The sequence below is a fragment of the Homo sapiens genome, chromosome 2 (genome assembly GCF_000001405.40).
Source record: "Homo sapiens chromosome 2, GRCh38.p14 Primary Assembly".
NCBI classification, from domain to species: domain Eukaryota; kingdom Metazoa; phylum Chordata; class Mammalia; order Primates; family Hominidae; genus Homo; species Homo sapiens.
In genome coordinates, this window is record NC_000002.12 from 219,566,392 (window position 1) to 219,581,332 (window position 14,941).

The following is a 14,941-nucleotide window of genomic DNA, read 5'->3' on the forward strand; positions in this document are numbered from 1 at the left end:
GAACCTATCTTATAGGGCCATTGAGAAGATTGTGTTAATGTATGTAAGGTGATTAGGACTGCGCCTGGCACGTAGAAAGTTGCGATGACAATGTCAACAATTAGACAACATGGCAGGAGGCAGGCAGGGACTAGCAGCCAGGGTCTGTGTCTTTCAAATGAGATGACAAATCTGACAGGATTCTGTAAACCACAAAGCACTCCAGAGAATTGGGATATGATGCTGACATATATCAAGATAACAAGGGGTGCCCTGGATGTTGCATGTGGGTTGAAATTGGCCTTCCGGACCTCTGAGCCCTCAACCTCAGCCCATCATGGATGCTCCTTGCTCTCCTGGCCCAGATACAAGAAATAAAAACAGCATCTGCCTCGTTTTGCCAACAGGACTTCTGTGTCTTGACCCTTTCTGCCCACTCAGGTCCCCACTGGCACCAACCTTGGATTGTGAGGGCAGCTGAGTCCTGCACGCCGGGGCAGCTGAAGCCGACCAGGGCACCGCTGTCCTGGTGCTTGACGGCATGCAGGATGAGTCTGTGCTGCAGACCCTTCTGCTCTATACGGTACCGCAGGGCCCCAGGTTCCACCTGGCCCTCCGGCTCGTTACTCTTGAGCTCTTCCCCATTAAGGAACCAGGTACCCTGGATGATGGTGGAGAGATCGAGGGAGAAGACGGCATCTTCCCCGTCGTATACCTGCACATCCTCCAGACCTGCCACCAGGCGAGCTGTGGGCACTGAGGCAGGGACAGAGTGCAGCTGTCAGAACTAGAAGGTGTGGCAGAGGGCAGAGGCTGGCGGATGGCAAGCCTGTGAGAGGACCAGCACTGAGGGCTGGGGAAGGGAGGAGAAGTGATGGGTGGGTCTGGCAGGACCAACTCACCAAGGTGAGCAGAACCGTGGAACACCACGTGGGGACTACGGCCATGTCCGCTGACTGTGCAGATGCGGAAGCGGTAGTCACCCTCGGAGGGCACACAGTCGCCCGGCACCTCCACGGCTCCGGCTTTCTCGATGCTGAAGCACTGAATCCAGTCTTCAGAGCCCACTTCCTGCCGCTCCAGCCGGTAGATGAATGGGGTCTCGGGAGCTGGCTCGGGAGGCTTCCAGGTCAACAGGACCGTGTTCTTGTGGCCCTTGAACATCTCTGCCAATATGGGGGGTCCTGGGGGACTGTGCTTGACACCTGAGACCAAGGCAGGGATGTGTTCCGGCCTTGCTTGGGCCTCCACAGCCCTTCCACCTTAAATCTACTTCACCAACCCAGCTCCGGCATCTGGCCAACCTCCTGCCCTGCCTCGCCTGTCCAGAGGCCTTCCTGCCCTCACATTTTACTCTGAGAAGCGTAGTGGTACGGGAGTTGCCCAGGCTAAAGGTGACCTCGCCAGCATCCTCTCGGGTGACCCCTGGAAGGACCAGGGCATGCATGTGGCCTGAGCTGCTCTGGCAGATGACCGGCAGCTCCTCCCCATCACGGCTCCAGCGTCCCTCGACCCCGGCCTCTAGAGTTTCCACTAGCAGCACAGCATTCTCTCCTTCCAGGACGTCGAGCTTCCGGGGCAGGCGCTTCAGGATGGGCCCTGAGATGCGGACAGGAATCCATCAACCTGGAATCTGAGCACCTGCCTGCCTCCGCCTCAGCCTCTTCCCCACGGGCCAGCTGACCTTTGACTGTGACGTTGGCCACGGTGCGCACCCGGCCCCGCATCTCGCACAGGTAGATACCATCATCGTCTGCCTTCAGCCTGTGGATGATGAGGCGCCGGACAGTGCCCTCTTCGATCTGCTCGTACTTGCGGCAGGGCAGCAGCCGCTGGTCCTCACGGAACCAGGCCGTGGGGATGCGGGAGTTGGGTACTTTACATTCCAGCACGGCAATCCCGTGCTCACGGCCCTCCACGTCCTGCAGGGGCCGTGTGAACCGGAGGCGGGGCTCTGTGGAGAGGGGAGAGAGAGACAAGAGAGGGCTCTGGAGAAGGCCCAGACTAGGAGTAGGATACCTAGAAGCGCATTAGCTCATGCTGTGTGCTCTTCATGCAGAGCCAGCGGGCACTGTGGAATCACAGAAAACTACCAGAAGGGAAGTGGTGGTTCCTAAGATGACCTGAGTTCTCATCCAGCCCTGACACTAGCCACATCACCTTAAGCAAGTCCATTTCAATGCTTCTGGGCCTCAGTCTCCTTACTTGTAAAATGGGGAAAGGGAGAGAAGGGGTTGGACCAGATTGATGATTTCCAAACTGTTCCCTGGGGTCCTCCAGGCCCTAGATTGGTGATTTCCAAACTGTTCCCTGGCTCCCCCCGCCCCAGTCATTTCACATATTCTGCAAGGGTCTGAGTAGAATTTAAAATATTTTAACTCTTTTTTTTTTTGAGATGGAGTCTCGCTCTGTTGCCCAGGCTGGAGTGCAGTCGCGCAATCTCGGCTCACTGCAACCTCCACCTCCTGGGTTCAAGCAATTCTGGTGCCTCAGCCTCTCAAGTAGAGCTGGGATTACAGGCAGGCGCCACCACGCCTGGCTAATGATTTTGTATTTTTAGTAGAGATGGGGTTTTGCCATGTTGGCCAGGCTGTTCTCGAACTCCTGACCTCAAATGATCCGCCCACCTTAGTCTCCCAAAGTGCTGGGATTACAGGGTGAGCCACTGTGCCTAGCTATTTTAACCCTTTTCAAAAGTGTATTTCAAAAAAAAAAAAAGAAAAGAAAAGAAAACAGGATGTTGGAAATCAGAGGATTAACTAGGGCTGCTGGAGAAGCAAGTTTTTGTGTGCGTGTGTGTATGCAACTCGGGGAAGCTCCTCTAGCCTTCCCTCCGGGCTTTTCTTTCCTGATGGAGGTCCAGATCAGCACCAACCTGATGAATCTGTGAGCATTGAACTGTAACAGTGAGGCCACCACCGCAGCCTGGGGGCAACATGCTTGACTGCATGCTAGGAAGGACTCAGGAGAATTTACCAACTTTTTTTCCTCTAAGAGAAAAAACTGGACAATAACTAGTGAAGGTGTACTCTTTTGCGTTGTGATGAAATCCTATTATGGGGAGCGTTACCTTCTGGTGAGTTTGGGGTGTGCTTTTTTTTCCTTTGGAATTTTCTGTTTATGAGAATGTAACCATTTATTGGATATTGTTGGTGATTCAACTTTGAAATATAAACCTTCTCTCCTTCACCTTCCTCTTCTTGCAAACGTGGGGAGCAGTTTAATCAAAGAATAGTAAAAACACGCAGGACATTTGTCCTCCCTCAAGTCTAGCTTTCCACTGAATCACTTGTTTCTCAAGGTGACAGATGCAGCCAGGCCGTCCCCACAGGGTTCAGAGCCTGGTCTCATGAATGCAGCCTTTAATTCAAATTCCTGTATTCAATAAAATAGCCTCCTTATTCTCACTGATGGTTTAGAAGTACCTGTTATATACGTAGACTCAGCAATTTACGCCCATAAACTACTCCTTTATCTGTCTCATATATTGGGGCTCTGGTTGTGAATTCAGTGGGGGAAGGAGGAGTAAAATAACAAAGACGTTGAAAACCACTAGGGAAGAAGAGTTCTAGGGCCCTCCGGATTTGTACATCAATCACTCCTTAGTGGTGTTCCACCATCTGCCTCGGAATCATTTAAGGAGTTTGCTAAGAAGTTCCTGAGTACCCTGGAGACCTACTAAATCCGAATCCCTGGGGAGTGAGAGGCGGGCGGGTTTGGTATTTTAATATTCCCGCGGACCACCTCTCCTCCAGTCTTGGGGGCAGCGCTGGGCACCGAGGAGGGCTGGAGTTCGGAGGGCCTCGGAGGACACTCGAGGCCCCTCCCTAGGTCCCGGGCTCCGCCGTACCTTTCACGTGCAGCTGCACGGCACTGAGCGTCTGGCCCGCCGAGTTGCGCGCGGCGCAGACGTAGAGCCCACGATCCTTGGCCTGGCAGTAAAGCACCTTGAGCACGAAGCCGCCGTCGCGGTCGCGGTACATGAGGCGGCGGCGGTCCGGGAGCAGCGGGCGGCCCTCCCAGTGCCATTCGATCTCGGGCTCGGGCTTGCCCATCACGTAGCAGCGGAACTTGGCGTGCTTGCCCTCGTTCACCCAGAAGGTCTTAGGCGCGCACTTGAGCGGCTCCACCACCGGCGCGGGGGCCTCGTCGGGGTCCGCGGGCGGGCTCTCGGGGGGCTGGTGCACCTGGAGCAGCGCCCCCGCCTGCGCGTGGCCGTGCGCGTTGCGGGCGTGGCACACGTAGACGCCGGAATCCGGCAGCCGAGCCGCCAGGATGCGCAGTGCCAGGCTCGCGCCGGGGCCGTCCTCGGCGCGGCCCGGCTGGAGCGCGAAGTGGCTGCTGTCCCACACTTCGTCCAGGGCCATCCCGTCCTTCTCCCAGTACAGTGTGGGCTCGGGGAGGCCCCCCGCCCGGCACGTCAGCACCACCTCCGCCCCCCGCAGCACCCACTGGGATCGAGGCCCCGTGAGGAAGACCGGGGCGCCCTCCCCGGACCCCGGCGATGGCAGCGGGCGCTCGGCGGGCTGCAGCTCGGGGTCGGAGGCCGGCGGCTCCAGCACGGTGACGGCGGCCGCCGCGTAGGCCTCGCCGGCCGCGTTGCGGGCGCGGCACACGTAGACCCCCGCGTCGGTGGGCAGTGCGGCGGTCAGCAGCAGGCCGTGCTCCGCGCCGTCCGCCGGGAAGCTCAGGCGTTCCGAGGCCGCCAGCTGCTGCCCGCCCTTCTCCCACACCACTACAGGCGGCGGCTCCCCCAGGACCACGCACTTGAGCTCGGCCTCGGCGCCACTTACCACCCGCACAGGCCGCGGGAAGCGCAGGAAGCACGGGGGGCTCCCCTGATCCCCCGAGCTCGCCTTCATCGCGGCGGCCGACCGCCTGCAGCGGCGAACGGTGGGGGGGCAGGGGGGGGTGCGGAGGGCGAGCCGAGGCCCGGGGCGGCGGGGTCGGGGCGCGGCTGGGGACTGGGCGCGGGGACCCGCGGAGCTCTCCCGGGCCTCCCGCTCCCGGCTCGCCTCCTTACCCTCGGCCCCGAGCTGCAGCTCTGCGGCGGCGGCGGCGGCGATTCCCGGGCCCGAAGCCTGGCGCTCAGGGGGCAGTCCTTCCTGTTTGCCTCTCCAGCGAGTGGCCCCGCAGCCTCCCCTGCCCGCTGCCTGGCTTCCTGCTCTTAGGAGCCTCTCTTCCCAGCCCCCTCCCACAGCTTGGGCCTCTTCCCCCTCCTCCCTCCCACCTCCAGCCGCCAGGTCCCCAGCCGCCCGCCAGGCTTGGGCCTGAGTGGCAGAGGCGCCTGCAGCTGCCAATCCCAAAAATATTCTCTGATGACACAGCTGGAGGACAAGAGCCCAGACTGGCTCCACTGGTCTAAGTATAGAGCAGGCAGGACCACCTGCCCCCGGCCCTAGCCCCGGTTCTAGCCCCGGTTCCAGCCCTGCCCCCAAGGGCTGGCCGGCCAGCAGCTGCTTATTGAAAGGGGCCCCAGAAGGTCTGAGGGGTGATGCACTTTGTCTCCCTGACAAATAACACTTTCTGGGGCTGGCCGGCTACAGCTCCCAGGCTCCTGTCCCACCTGATGTCACCTCTGGATGTGTCTGTGTGTGTGTGTGTGAGAGAGTGTGTGTGTGTGAGAATTTGTGTGTGTGTGAGTGTGTGTGTGAGTGTGTGTGTGAGTGTGTGTGTGTGTAGGGAGAAGGTGTTGTATGTTTGCATGTGTGAGTCAGGTCGCTTGAGGCGAAATCCTTCCCAGCCCCTCCCCCACATCCCTGGCGGGAGTGGGAGATAAGGCTCATGGCCACAGACATCTGCGTCAGAGATAGGAGGTCTCAATGCCACGGGCAGGGGCAACTCGGACTGTGGGGCGTGGAAAGGACTGGGGAAGACTGGATGAGAAGGGTAGAAGAGGGTGGGTGTGGGATGGGGAGGGGAGAGTGGAAAGGCCCTGGGCAGACCCTGGCAGAAGGGGCACGGGGCAGGGTGTGAGTTCCCCACTAGCAGGGCCAGGTGAGCTATGGTGCTGCACCTACTGCTCTTCTTGCTGCTGACCCCACAGGGTGGGCACAGCTGCCAGGGGCTGGAGCTGGCCCGGGAACTTGTTCTGGCCAAGGTGAGGGCCCTGTTCTTGGATGCCTTGGGGCCCCCCGCGGTGACCAGGGAAGGTGGGGACCCTGGAGTCAGGCGGCTGCCCCGAAGACATGCCCTGGGGGGCTTCACACACAGGGGCTCTGAGCCCGAGGAAGAGGAGGATGTCTCCCAAGCCATCCTTTTCCCAGCCACAGGTAACGAGGGTGGGGGAACCGGCAGGATGACTTTGAGAAAAAGCAAGGCACAGCATGGGTTTGCAGGCCAGGCGGACCTGGGTTTGAATCCTAGTCCTGCTACTCAGTTGCTTTGCAGCAATAGGCCAGTTACTAAACTTCCTTATGCTTCTGTCTCCCCATCTGTAAAATGGGCTAATGCCCACCTCTCAGGATTAAGTGAGAGGCTGTACCTAGAGTGCATGGCAGGTGGGAGGCATTTGGGAAGTATGCGCTGGGAGACCGGGGGTCTCTAAAGATGGAGATATTTGGGCTTGAGCCCCTTCCTGCCACCTTTCCTCCTATCTCTGCCTCTGCTCGCTGCTCCAAACCCTGTTTCTTTACTCCCAGGTAGCTGACACTGAGAAGCTATCAGAGATACAGGCAAAAGATTAGTTGGGAAACTTTTCTGGAAAACTAGTCTATCTTCTCTTGAGTTCCTGTCTCAACATATATGTGCCCCCTTGTTCCACTGACTGAATGGATAAGCCCTCCTGTGGGTGGGCTTTCTTGTCATCTGGTCCACCTTTCTCTTAGAGAGGACCCCTGCCTCCCTCACTTCAGTCCGTTCGCAGCACAGTGGGGAGAAGGATGGCTTTGGGATCAGGCAAAATCCAAGCCTGGCCACTTAGTCGTTGAACGTCATTTCACCTCTCTAAGCCTCAGTTTCCTTATCTGCAAAATGGACCAATTGTGACTAGATAATGAGAGAAGCCATGTAACAGTATAGTTCCAATTGCCAGTCCATGAACGAGTGCTGCTCCAGGATGATTAGTATAGTCTATGAGTGTGTCAGTGTGAGGATGCTAACTACACATTCTTGAAAGGACTGCCCTCTGTTCTGAGTTACAGCCCTCCTCCTTCTCTTCCCCCTCTTCCTTGTTCTCCATTTTCTTCCCTTTCCCACTTGCCTTTCCCTCCTTCTTCTTTTTTTTTTTTTTTTGGTGTAAACCTGTCTTTTAAAAATGGAATTATTTTAAAGAATTTATCCTACAATATTCCTGACATGCCAAAGATATAAAGAGTAATATAGGCCGGGCGCGGTGGCTCACGTCTGTACTCCCAGCACTTTGGGAGGCCAAGGCAGGAGGATCACAAGGTCAAGAGATCGAGACTATCCTGGCTAACATGGTGAACCCCGTCTCTACTAAAAATACAAAAAATTAGCCAGGCATGGTGGCACCAGCTACTCGGGAAGCTGAGGCAGGAGAATTGCTTGAACGTGGGAGGCGGAGCGGAAGGCAGAGGTTGCAGTGAGCCGAGATGGCGCCACTGCACTCCAGCCTGGGCGACAGAGCTAGACTCCATCTCAAAAAAAAAAAAAAAATGGTAATATGGCTGGGTGTGATGGCTCACGCCTATAATCCCAGCACTTTGGAAGGTGAAGGCAGGCAGATTGCTTGAGCTCAGGAGTTTGAGATCAGCCTGGGCAACATAGCGAGACCCTGTCTCTACAAAACCCACAAAAGTTAGCTAGGTGTGGTAGCACACGCCTGTGGTCTCAGTTACTCAGGAGGCTGAGGTGGGAGGATTGCTTGAGCCCAGGAGGTAGACGCTGCAGTGAGCCGTGATCATGCCACTGCACTCCAGCCTGGGTGACACAGTAAGACTCTGTCTCAAAAAAAAAAAAAAAAAAGAATATAACAACCATCCATGTAGACACCATTCAGGATACTGTTTCACACTATCTGGTGAGTAAGCATTGAAGTCTAATACAAAGTCTTAGTGCTGGTGAAGTGGAGAGAGGGCCTCTTACACACTGCTGATGGGCATGTTAATTGGTAAAACCACTTCAGAGAGAAGTTGGCAATGTCTTCTATTTTTTTAAGTCCCTTCATGATGAAATTAAAAAATGGGAAGCCTACAGAAGCTCTCCCAAAACTCAGGAGAGTCCCCACGTCCCGGAGGGCGTGGAGCAGAGTGCAGCCCATCATTGGCTCATGACTGGTGGCCACATCCCTCCTGCTGAAGAGGAGGGGTGCCAGGTCCTGCCAGTCAGGGCTGCCCTCTCCCTTTTCTTCTGTCTCCTGCAGATGCCAGCTGTGAGGACAAGTCAGCTGCCAGAGGGCTGGCCCAGGAGGCTGAGGAGGGCCTCTTCAGATACATGTTCCGGCCATCCCAGCATACACGCAGCCGCCAGGTGACTTCAGCCCAGCTGTGGTTCCACACCGGGCTGGACAGGCAGGGCACAGCAGCCTCCAATAGCTCTGAGCCCCTGCTAGGCCTGCTGGCACTGTCACCGGGAGGACCCGTGGCTGTGCCCATGTCTTTGGGCCATGCTCCCCCTCACTGGGCCGTGCTGCACCTGGCCACCTCTGCTCTCTCTCTGCTGACCCACCCCGTCCTGGTGCTGCTGCTGCGCTGTCCCCTCTGTACCTGCTCAGCCCGGCCTGAGGCCACGCCCTTCCTGGTGGCCCACACTCGGACCAGACCACCCAGTGGAGGGGAGAGAGCCCGACGCTCAACTCCCCTGATGTCCTGGCCTTGGTCTCCCTCTGCTCTGCGCCTGCTGCAGAGGCCTCCGGAGGAACCGGCTGCCCATGCCAACTGCCACAGAGTAGCACTGAACATCTCCTTCCAGGAGCTGGGCTGGGAACGGTGGATCGTGTACCCTCCCAGTTTCATCTTCCACTACTGTCATGGTGGTTGTGGGCTGCACATCCCACCAAACCTGTCCCTTCCAGTCCCTGGGGCTCCCCCTACCCCAGCCCAGCCCTACTCCTTGCTGCCAGGGGCCCAGCCCTGCTGTGCTGCTCTCCCAGGGACCATGAGGCCCCTACATGTCCGCACCACCTCGGATGGAGGTTACTCTTTCAAGTATGAGACAGTGCCCAACCTTCTCACGCAGCACTGTGCTTGTATCTAAGGGTGGGGGGTCTTCCTTCTTAATCCCATGGCTGGTGGCCACGCCCCCACCATCATCAGCTGGGAGGAAAGGCAGAGTTGGGAAATAGATGGCTCCCACTCCTCCCTCCTTTCACTTCTCTGCCTATGGGCTACCCTCCCCACCCCACTTCTATCTCAATAAAGAACACAGTGCATATGACTTGACATATGTTCTCCAGCTTCTCTGATATGGAGTTGGGCCCCCAGGAGCATGGGACTGTCAGATCTCAGGTCACTCAGCCACACTTGACCTCAGAGACATGAAGTTCAAGAGCTATAACTGGATGTGTATTGGTTGGGAATCTACAACGCTTGGGGGTGACATAATAGTGCTCCAAGCTCCTTGGAGAGCCACCTTGGAGACAGAGCTGGACGCATGCAAGCTGAACCAGACATGTCAATCAGGTTGCCTGCCCTGCACACCTAAGGGAGACTGCTGCACTCACATGACCACATCCAAGGCAGCCATAAGTCCCCTCCCCTGCCATTCTCTGCCACAGCTGATGGGCACTTAGCCCGAGGTCAGGTGATTTGTAGCCTGGCCAGAGACTGTGGCCTTTGGAGTCCCACTGAGACAATTGTCCAGAGTTGGCCAGACCTTGGAGTTACTTGGGAAGCTTGGGTGGGATGTAAGGGAGAGATATATGTGTTGGCAGCATCAGAAAGAAATTAACAAGGGCAAAGAGGTGGTGTTGTGTTAAGGTCAGACAGATCACCTGACCAAAGACCTGAGGATTTCCTTTTGCCAAAGGCCCTTCTTTGAATCCGTCACTGACTCTTGCTGTAGACTCCGTGAGGCCTCCTGCAGTAGGATTCTAGTTCATGAACTCTTTGTCTCCCTTGATGTCACCTGTACATGTTTACATAATCCCTTAACTCAGCCCTTAGCATCAGAAGAGTGGAAAGACTGAGGCTATTGCCAGAAAATAGAAAAGCTCTTTTGTGAATTTGTGCATGCAGGACATGGTGCAAAACAGCACTTTTCTTTTTTCATTGCGTTTCCTATCAGTCCATTCTGCCTCCGGATTTGGGCATGGGGAAGCCCCTCTCCGCTGGCCTTCCTCCCTGCTTTTTTCACTCTCCTTGTTATCCCCCTGGGTCTCGTTATCCTTGTGCTCCACCCCAGGGTCCCTGCTATCAGCCACTGGTTCCATCCAGTCTCCAACACGTGTGTGTGTGTGTGTGTGTGTGTGTGTGTTTGTGTGTGTGTGTTTAGGGGAAGGGCTGGGATGTTCAGGTCCATCAGACTGGAACTTGAGAGCACTTTCTGATATTGACTGCACAACTACAGTGTGTATTTATCTAACCAGAGTCTTTTACTGGTCAAAGACTCCTTTCTACCAGCCTGGCTTGATGGGGTGGAAGGGTAAGCGCCTGCTCCAGTGAGCGGTGCAGCGGGAAAGAATCCTATCCCGTCACAGTTACACCAACACCCCTCCCCCACCGGAGCTAACCTGAATGAGCCACTGTTCCCTGCAGCACAGGAGCCTTCAGAGCCATGTACGTGCTCCTGTACACGCCCCAGTCTCTGTTGACACTGAGTCCCCCAGAAGGCTGTCACTGTTCTGGAGGGGGAAACCTGCTTGTTTGCAGTCCCCAGCCTCTCCCAGGACCTTCGTGTTGACTCAGCATTGGAAGCGCTCTGTGCTCAGAGCTCTGTGCATCCCTATTCAGGCAGTGGGCTGGGGAGACAGCTGCTTGGGCTCTGCCAGTGGTGGGAAGGGGAGGTTTTTTCCAAGCCTGTCTATGTTCTACGTGCTCCCTGCCTGGCTTCTCTGGCTAGATCCTCCCTTCCCAAACAGTGAGGTCTTTCCCTGGGATCTTCAATTTTCCTACTAGGCTTCAGCTCTTCATTCTTCCTGCTGGGGCCCCCTAGAACCCTGTGTTATCCAGATGCTCCCTGTCCCAGGGATGAGGATGGGCGCTGAGGGCTGGGGGCAGATTACTGAGGGGTACAGGATTCTCCACGAGGCCAGTTAGCAGATTGGTATTGCAAGTGAAAAGCGTGCACATGTCTGAGACAAAATGAGAAAAATGAGTATGAGGGAGTCTTTCACAAAGCCAAATATATTCATTTTATAAAGGCTATCTTTCAATGCTACCCATTACCTTTTCTGCTTGTGGGTGTGTGACAGTGTTAGCTCTTTCATGATGTTATGAAGAGGGTAGAAAGTAGTGGTTTTGTTTGTTTGCATTTCTACCCAACAAAATTTAAACTTGGCAATTCCAGTTTGGAATGTAAGATTTTTCTTTGGAATTTTGTTGCCCTGTGAAATCTGTGAGATCCCAATGTCTGACAGTCACTGTTCGGAGCCACTCCTTCTAAGGTCTCTAATACCTAGATTCTGCTAACGCAGCAAATTAGGAAAGATGTTCACAGATCCCTAAGAGGGGCTCCACAGTGGCTACGGACATCGTTTTGTTTTCTATCCTCATCAAGACACCAGCCCAAGAGCAGTGAATTTCAAAGATGATCCCTGTTCCCAATGCTAATCATTAGGGACGTACTGTGAATACTCTTAGTTTGGAGTCAGTTTAAACAGAAAACCCAGCTCCAACTGGATTAGATCAAAAAGTGTATTTAAGCCAGGCGCGGTGGCTCACGCCTGTAATCCCAGCACTTTGGGAGGCTGAGGTGGGCGGATCACCTGAGGTTAGGAGTTCTGACTCCATCTCTACAGAAAATATGAAAATTAGCCGGGCATGGTGGCACTTGCCTATAATCCCAGCTACTTGGGAGGATGAGGCAGGAGAATCACTTGAACTCAGGAGGCGGAGCTTGCTTGCAGTGAGCAGAGTTCGCGCTACTGCACTCCAGCCTGGGTGACAGACTGAGACTTCCTCTCAAAAAAAAAAAAAAAAGTTTTTAAAACTCACCAGCACTGGCTCATTGGCTCATGATAAATCCACAGGCACAGCTAGCTAAGGTATGGCTCAATTCTGGGCTCAAAAGATGCTACTAGGATCCATCTATAGGCTCTAGTTCCCCCCAGATCAGCTCCATCCTGGGTCCATGGCAACTCCAGGCAGCACAGGCTCCCATCATTATGCAGCTTGGTCCGGCAGGAGGGAGTTCACTTACAAAAGTCCTGGGACAAAGATAGGCACAGTGGCTCATGCTTGTAATCCCAGCACTTTGGGGGGCCAAGGCAGGAGAATTGTATGAGGCCGGGAATTTAAGACCAGCCTGGGCAACAAAGCGAGACCTTGTCTCTATTTAAAACAATGCAAAACAAAACAAAAGTCCTAGGACAGGTCTTGATGGCCTGATTAGATTTATTAATGTCATGTGCTACTCCAGGAAAGGTGGCCTGCGTTAATGCCTTAGCCTAGGTCACTTGTCCTCCCCATAGAGCCTCGAGCCTAAAGCATAAGGGCTAAAAGTGAAAAAAGGTGATGTCCCCAAAGCAGGGGACAGTTACCACAAAAAGGTGGGGTAGATACTGAGAAGCAAGTATTGTTTGTTGTTCCTCCTAAGTATCTTTCAAATCAACCGCTTTGTCTCTCCTTACGTAGACACTATTTTGCAATTCTTGATTGGGCAATTTAGCAGCCTCCTAAACCAGTCACTCCCTGCCCTCCATCCACCCTCAACATGGCTGACACAGGATTTTTCTGATGTGATCATGTTACTTAGGGTGGCTTAAAAAATTGTCTCCACAAAGTTCAGCCTCCTTCATGTGGTCGGAAAGCCCTTGATAACCAACTCTAACCCTTTCCTTGCAGCCTGATCTACCCAGTCCTCCTTTCCTCTCCCCACCCAACACATCACCCAAACTCTGGTGACACAAATTCCAGATACAAAATGTTCTTCTCAAGGGCCCATGTCTTTAGCAACACCTCTTTTTTTTCTGTTTTGTTTTGTTTCAAGACAGGGTCTGGCTCTGTCACCCAGGCTGGAATGCAGTGGCATGATCTTGGCTCACTGCAGCTCTGACCTCCTGGAACTCAAGCAATCTTCACATCTCAACTTCCGAAGTGCTGGGATTACAGGCATGAGCGGCTGTGCTCCTACCTCAGTGCTTCCTTTAAGATCCAATTCTGATGTCACGTTTTCTGTGATCCTCCCCTTCACTCCCAGATGGCAAAGCTCTTCACCCCTTCTTCACTACTTCCTGGGCACTTTGTTTTTTAATTTTTTTTTGAGACAGAGTCTCGTTCTGTCACCCAGGCTGGAGTACAATGGCGCAATCCCGGCTCACTGCAACCTCCGCCTCCCAGGTCAAGCGATTTTCCTGCCTCAGCCTCTTGAGTAGCTGGGATTACAGGTGCGTGCCATCACGCCCGGCTAAGTTTTGTATTTTTAGTAGAGATGAGGTTTCACCATGTTGGTCAGGCTGGTCTCGAACTCCTGACCTCATGATCTGCCCGCCTCGGCCTCCCAAAGTGCTGGGATTACAGACCTGAGCCACTGCACCTGGCCTGTTTTAAAATTTTTATTTCAAAAAATTACTTGTTCTTGATTTCATAAGCCACAAAGAGATACATTCTCACAGTGGATATTCAAATATTAAAGATAAAACTGAAGTTCCCCTTGATCGTTATTTCCAATTCTAGTCCCCTCCACAGAGGCAGGTATCCTTCTAGACACATTTCCATGAGTTGACACCCATGTGCGTATCTGGTAGAAAAAGTCTTTTCTCCCCCCACGAATGGTGTCATGCCATGTGTATGGGGCTGCCACTATTTTACTTTATATTCTACGAGTTTGTTTTGACCTTATTTTCCAGTCTATTAGCTTTATTTTCTTAGCAATTATATTCCTCCGCTTGAAAGAAATAAGATTCTATTATTTAATTTTATTTATTAATTTTTTTTTTGTAGAGATGGGCTTGTTATATTGCCCAGGCTGGTCTTGAATTCATAGTCTCAAATGATGCTCCTTCCTTGACCTCCCAAAGTTCTGAGATTACAGGCGTGAGTCACCAAACCCAGCCAGAAATAAGATCCTTTTGTTAATTTTATTATTATTATTATTGTTATTATTATTTGAGATGGAGTCTCACTCTGTCATGCAGGCTGGAGTGCAGTGGCGCAAGCTTGGCTCACTGCAACCTCTGCCTCCCGGGTTCAAGTGATTCTCCTGCCTCAGCTTCCTGAGTAGCTGGGATTACAGGCACACGCCACCAGGCCCGGCTAATTTTTGTATTTTTAGTAGAGACAGGGTTTCACCATATTGGTCAGGCTGGTCTCGATCTCCTGACCTCATGATCTGCCTGCCTCTGCCTCCCAAAGTGCTGGGATTACAGGTGTGAGCCACCGTGCCCAGCAATTTTATTATTTATATACTGAACACTTATACAGCACTATGTGCCTTATGCATGTTAGAACTAAAAGCTCATGCAATCCTTGTAACAACCATTTGAGGTAGGCACTCATATTATACCTATTGCACAGTAGAGGAAACTGAGGCACAGAGAGATAAAATAACCTAGCTGGGAGCAGTGGCTCACTCCTATAATCCCAGCACTTTGGGAGGCTGAGGTGGGCAGATCATGAGGTCAGGAGATCGAGACCATCCTGGCCAACATGGTGAAACCCCGTCTCTACTAAAAATACAAAAATTAGCTGGGCGTGGTGGCACATGCCTGTAATCCCAGCTACTCGGGAGGTTGAGGCAGGAGAATCGCTTGGACTAGGGAGTCAGAGGTTGCAGTGAGCCAAGATTGTGCCATTGCACTCCAGCCTGGGCGACGGGGCGAGACTCCATCTCAAAACAAAAACAAAAATGAAAAAACCTATCCAGAGTCACATCCCTAGTAAGTGATGGAGCCAGGATTTGGACT

At 53.7% G+C, this 14,941-nt stretch overlaps 2 protein-coding genes across 16 annotated transcripts in view, besides 6 other annotated features; one reads left to right on the forward strand and one right to left on the reverse strand.

Annotated features, from left to right (window-relative positions):
- Positions 1–269: part of an enhancer, noted in NCBI's record as "OCT4-H3K27ac-H3K4me1 hESC enhancer chr2:220430521-220431382 (GRCh37/hg19 assembly coordinates)", that runs on past the window's edge. NCBI's record gives its function as "activates a minimal SCP1, AML or CMV promoter by ChIP-STARR-seq in naive H9 embryonic stem cells {active_cell/tissue: H9 hESC(naive)}" and the evidence as "EXISTENCE:reporter gene assay evidence [ECO:0000049][PMID:30033119]".
- Positions 1–5,148, reverse strand: part of OBSL1 (obscurin like cytoskeletal adaptor 1) — a 24,334-nt gene extending 19,186 nt beyond the window's left edge. For all 15 annotated transcript variants that reach the window (XM_017003700.2, XM_017003699.2, XM_017003698.2 and 12 more), the window contains exons 1-5: positions 3,830–5,148; positions 1,664–1,933; positions 1,327–1,578; positions 882–1,184; positions 439–735 (exon numbers count right to left, since the gene is read on the reverse strand). In XM_017003700.2, coding sequence (XP_016859189.1) covers positions 439–735; positions 882–1,184; positions 1,327–1,578; positions 1,664–1,933; positions 3,830–4,841 — 2,134 coding nt within the window. In that variant the 5' untranslated portion in view covers positions 4,842–5,148. The remainder of the gene's footprint in view (positions 1–438; positions 736–881; positions 1,185–1,326; positions 1,579–1,663; positions 1,934–3,829) is intronic.
- Positions 270–1,131: an enhancer, noted in NCBI's record as "H3K27ac-H3K4me1 hESC enhancer chr2:220431383-220432244 (GRCh37/hg19 assembly coordinates)". NCBI's record gives its function as "activates a minimal SCP1, AML or CMV promoter by ChIP-STARR-seq in primed H9 embryonic stem cells {active_cell/tissue: H9 hESC(primed)}" and the evidence as "EXISTENCE:reporter gene assay evidence [ECO:0000049][PMID:30033119]".
- Positions 3,254–4,091: an enhancer, noted in NCBI's record as "H3K27ac-H3K4me1 hESC enhancer chr2:220434367-220435204 (GRCh37/hg19 assembly coordinates)". NCBI's record gives its function as "activates a minimal SCP1, AML or CMV promoter by ChIP-STARR-seq in primed H9 embryonic stem cells {active_cell/tissue: H9 hESC(primed)}" and the evidence as "EXISTENCE:reporter gene assay evidence [ECO:0000049][PMID:30033119]".
- Positions 4,092–4,929: an enhancer, noted in NCBI's record as "H3K27ac-H3K4me1 hESC enhancer chr2:220435205-220436042 (GRCh37/hg19 assembly coordinates)". NCBI's record gives its function as "activates a minimal SCP1, AML or CMV promoter by ChIP-STARR-seq in primed H9 embryonic stem cells {active_cell/tissue: H9 hESC(primed)}" and the evidence as "EXISTENCE:reporter gene assay evidence [ECO:0000049][PMID:30033119]".
- Positions 5,616–5,910: an enhancer, noted in NCBI's record as "tiled region #8639; K562 Activating DNase unmatched - State 1:Tss". NCBI's record gives its function as "activates a minimal TATA promoter and a strong SV40 promoter by Sharpr-MPRA in K562 cells {active_cell/tissue: K562}" and the evidence as "EXISTENCE:reporter gene assay evidence [ECO:0000049][PMID:27701403]".
- Positions 5,919–9,320, forward strand: INHA (inhibin subunit alpha). The gene is made up of 2 exons (NM_002191.4): positions 5,919–6,251; positions 8,303–9,320. The coding sequence occupies exons 1-2, from the start codon at positions 5,984–5,986 to the stop codon at positions 9,133–9,135; spliced, it is 1,101 nt and encodes a 366-aa protein (NP_002182.1). The 5' UTR covers positions 5,919–5,983; the 3' UTR covers positions 9,136–9,320.
- Positions 10,174–10,749: an enhancer, noted in NCBI's record as "H3K27ac-H3K4me1 hESC enhancer chr2:220441287-220441862 (GRCh37/hg19 assembly coordinates)". NCBI's record gives its function as "activates a minimal SCP1, AML or CMV promoter by ChIP-STARR-seq in naive H9 embryonic stem cells {active_cell/tissue: H9 hESC(naive)}" and the evidence as "EXISTENCE:reporter gene assay evidence [ECO:0000049][PMID:30033119]".